Below are 4577 nucleotides of genomic sequence, written 5' to 3'. Positions count from 1 at the left end.
GGGGAAGGAAGAACCCCAGAGAGAAGTGGGCACAGCGGCCCCAGAGCATCATGAAGCCTGGACCTTCAGGAAGGGGTCAGGTGTGACTCTGTGCTACTGAGACCTTGTCTGGGGACCCGCATGGGTGACAGGCAACTCTCCCTCCCCCTCACTCACTCATTCAATATCCATGGGTCTCCTCATACTGTGTGCCATAGGTGAAATGTGGCCCACTGGGAACGCGTTTGGGCAGGGTCCTTGTCCCAGTGAAGCTTTCACTCTGATGGGGAAAACATAGCATAGACCAGAAACCAGGAAATTGATTAATTTTAGATGGTGCTAAGTGCTGTAGAGGAAATAAGACAAGCTGGTGAGATAGAGAGAGACAGGGTATAGTCAGGGAAGTCCTCTCTGAGGAGGTGGCATCTGGTCTGCTGCCTGAGTGACATGAAGGAGCCAGGCACCTGAAGATCGTGGGGAAAGATGTTCCAGGCAAAGGGAACAGCAAGTACAAAGGCTCAGAGGCTGTGTTTGAGCTGGGAAAGATAACTCTCTGGAAAGAGAATGGCCCAAAGAGGCATTGAGCACACACAAAACAGAGGGAGCAGTGGAACCAAATGTGCCACATGCTGATATGTGACCTCTCACTGTCTTTCCTACTTTCTGGGCCTCGGTATCCCCATTTGCAATGTGAGTCAATAGCAAAAACACTGCGACTAATTGAGAGAATGAAATGAGCTTGCTCACAGGTGAGCCTCTCCACTCAGAAGGCATCTCCTCACTCCTGCCTGAGATTGCCCTGCGAGAGCCCTGGGATCCTGAGAAACCATCTACAGTCTGGGGAAGGGGGTCTTCCTTGACCTGTGGAGGGACAACGAAGGACTCAGCCCTAAAGGCGGCTGGGAGGCTGGGTCGGGCTTGCCAGGTTTCTGGCTCCTTGGAGGGACCCCAAGGACAATAGGGCCACCCTGCTCAGTGATGCCAGGAGGTTTACTTGTCTTACCCAAAGCCACAAGGAGATCTTGGGATCTAGGACATGTGGAAAGCCACTGAGCACCCCCCCCAAACAGTTTCCATGCTAGTGGACTCCGTTTTTTCCTTCCCCAGGAAGACACAGGTGAAAATTTTCCCCAGGGTCTGTCTGTGGGTGCGGAGCAAGCATGGGAGGGTGAGCTGCAGAACTGAGACTCCACATCCTGAACCCCAGAGTCAGGACTCCTAGAAATGCCTCCCCATTCCCCAACACATTTACACCACCTGTATACCCAGGTCCTAAATACAGTCTCAGTGACGCGTCTACCTACCCAGAGCCCCTGGTCCGTAATCTGAGCATCGAGCGCCCTCTGGTGGTAATCGTGACTATCCGAAGCCCAGAGCCTCCAAGCGCGGGATGGCCAGCATCGCCCAGCCCCTCCAGTGTGGCGCCTAGCGTGGTGGGGAACTGAACAGCAAACGCCAGGGCTTTTAGCCAGCACCCACCTAAAAAAGACATGCCCTGAGATGGCAAAGGACTTGTCCAGAGTCACACAGCCTGTCGATCGTACCTAGTGGCCAAGAAGAGCACTCATTCATTCGCTCAATCTGCTTCATTGAGCACCTACTTTACCCCAGGCATTGTAATAGGCACAGGGAACTCAGCAGCGACCAAGACAAAGCCCTCACCTTCATAAAGGCTACATTCCACGGAAAGAGGGATAATAAATGCACAAACAAGTAAATATGTAGGGTGTCAGGTGGAGAGAAGTTCTATGATGAAAAATCAAGCAGAGTAGGGGAGAAGCAGCAGCAGGGAGCGAGCTATCTTAGATCAGACAGCTATGGGAGAGCTCTCTAGGGGGATGATTTTGAGCTGAGATTGATGAAGAGATGGGGAAATGTGTAGGGAGAAGCAATTCTGGCACTGGGAAAGGAAGTGGCCCCTGACACAGGAGGGTCCTTGGCATGTTCAAGTGACAGCGAGAAGGCCTGGGTGGTCAGAGTGGAGCAAGCAAGAGAGGCGGTAGAGGCCATATCAGATAGTGTCCTGTGCACTACGACAGGGGTCTAGGGCTTTGTTCTAAGTTGTGTTAGGAAGCCAGTGGAGGGTTTTGAACAATCACGAGGGGGCTAAAAGTTTTAAAGGCTCACTGGATTCTGAAGGAAAAACAGACGGCAGGAGGGATGAGGCGTGAACGCAGTTGGTTCGGAGCTAGAAAGCTATTGCAAGGTTCAAGGTGAATAGTGACAGGAGCTTTAACCAGTGGTGGGAGTAATGGAAGGGTCTCAGATTTGAGATGCATTTTGAAGTTCAAGCCAAAAAGAGCTACTGAGGTAGAGCTATATAGAATGTGAGAGAAAGAGAGGAAAAAGATAAGTCCAAGGTTTTTTGCCTGAACATCTAGGTGACGTTTCCTGAGATGGGGATGGCAGGAAGGAAAGATTTGATGAGAGGACAGTGAAAAGTTCCATTTTGGGCATGGTGAGTTTGAGGTGCTGGCCATGACTATCCCAGGTTGGATATAGGAGTCTGAAGTTCAGGGGTGAACTTGGCAGTCATTACCATATAGATGGTGTTTAAAGCCATGGAGAGAGGCACCTACTTCTATCCAAGATGAAGCAACAGAGGCCAGATTTATCCTCTCGCCTGAAACAAACAAATAAAACACACACAAACTATATAAAACAATGGTTTTCAAGATACTGGACATCAGAAAACAAAGGATAGTATCCCTTAGAGACAGAAAACAAACAAGGTGAGCCCTAAAATCATCTCAGCATACTGTCTTGGTAGAGTTTCTCTGTTGCATCACAGGAAGTAGGAATGGAAGTAGTGCCTGGGAAACATCCTAAATTGGGAAGATAGAGCTAGGGGTCCAGAAAGACAAAGACAAGAATTTGCAGGACAGAGCACTCAATAGGAGAGAGACCTACAAAGACAGCCAGAACCCCAGAAACCTGCAGAGGGTCCCCTTCAAGTATTCATCGGAGTACTGATCAGCACATGTGTATATGGAAAATACCCAAGGCTGAACAAGTAATCATCCAGAGGTATAGAGGAAACAGTACCCAGCAATCACACAAGGCCTGGAATAACATCTATTCTCACCAGGACTAGAAAACCTCATAATTAGTGCGAGATGGGGTAGAATACTCAGAAGATTCTCGCCTCAACAATGAAGAATAATTAGCCCTAAATTTAAATGCCGCTCTGGTCCCACCTAACAAATCTTCAAAGCAAGACCTAAAAGGATCAAACTCTTCCTGCAAATAAATTAATTGCATTCCAGAACAAAGTTCAGAATATTTGTAGAAATGCAAAAATAACCAAGAATATAAAGAACTCCTAATGTATATGTAATTGGAGTATCCAAAGGAATGCAAAAATACTCAAAAAGGTAAAAATTACAATGTCTGGCATCTAATCAAAGATTATCAGGTATGCAAAGAAGCAGGGAAATATGCTCTATAATGAAGATTAATTAATTAATTAATTGAAACTGACTCAGAATGTACATAGATGTTAATAATAGTAATTAAGTGGAGGATTGAGATATTAAAAAGACATAAATCAAACTTACAGAGATCAAAAACAGAGGGGAAAATTACACTGGATGGGAGGAATGGCAGATTGGACATTGCAGAAGAAAAGATTAGTGAACATAAAGACACAGCAATAGAAACTACCCAAAATGAAACACACAGAAAGAAAAATCAATTTTTTTTTTTTTTGAGACAGGGTCTCACTCTGTTGCTCAGGCTGGAGTGCAGTGGTGCAATCTCAGGTCACTACAGCCTCCACCTCCCAGGCACAAGCAACCCTCCCACTTCAGCCTCCTGAGTAGCTGGGACTACAGGCACACACCACTATACCCAGCTAGTTGTTTGTATTTTTGCAGAGATGGGGTCTCGCCATGTTCCCCAGGCTGGTCTCGAGCTCCTGGGCTCACGAGATCCACCCACCTCTGCCTCCCAAAGTGCTAGGATTAAAGGCATGAGCCACCGTGCCCGGCAAAAAATCAAATTTTTTAAAAGGGAACATCAATGATCTGTGGTTCAACATTAAACAACCTAATATATGTGTGATTAGAGTGTCAGCCTGTAATTCCAAACCCGGCAAAAATAACTTTCAAAAACAAAACCAAAATAAGACTATTTCAGATATACAAAGCATAAAGAATTCATCACCAACAGACTTTCATCATAAGAAATATTAAAGGAAGTCCTTTAGGCAGAAGCAAAATGATAACAGTGGGAAATATGGATCCAAGGAATGAAAAGCACCAAAAGTGGTAACTACATGGGTAAATATGTTTTATTATTATTTCAAGCACTTTAAAAGATAAGTGGCTATCTAAACAATAAAAATATATATTGTGGGGGGGTTGTTTTTGTTTTGAGACTGAGTCTCGCTCTGTCACCTAGGCTGGAGTACAGTGGCGCAATCTTGGCTCAGCACAACCTCCGCCTCCCAGGCTCAAGTGATTCTCCTGCCTCAGCCTCCAGAGTAGCTGGGATTACAGGCACGTGCCACCACTGCCTGGCTAATTTTTGTATTTTTAGTGGAGACAGGGTTTCACCATATTGGCCAGGCTAGTCTTGAACTCCTGACTTCAAATGAT

The 4577-nt window shown here is 46.3% G+C and overlaps 2 annotated features.

Annotated features, from left to right (window-relative positions):
- Nucleotides 1204–1253: an enhancer, noted in NCBI's record as "active region_759". NCBI's record gives its function as "activates an Ori minimal core promoter by ATAC-STARR-seq in GM12878 lymphoblastoid cells {active_cell/tissue: GM12878}" and the evidence as "EXISTENCE:reporter gene assay evidence [ECO:0000049][PMID:35858748]".
- Nucleotides 1394–1593: an enhancer, noted in NCBI's record as "active region_758". NCBI's record gives its function as "activates an Ori minimal core promoter by ATAC-STARR-seq in GM12878 lymphoblastoid cells {active_cell/tissue: GM12878}" and the evidence as "EXISTENCE:reporter gene assay evidence [ECO:0000049][PMID:35858748]".

This window comes from Homo sapiens, chromosome 1, assembly GCF_000001405.40.
Source record: "Homo sapiens chromosome 1, GRCh38.p14 Primary Assembly".
NCBI lineage: Eukaryota > Metazoa > Chordata > Mammalia > Primates > Hominidae > Homo > Homo sapiens.
The sequence above is the reverse complement of the archived record's forward strand: the minus strand, read 5'-3'. Positions and strand labels throughout refer to the sequence as shown.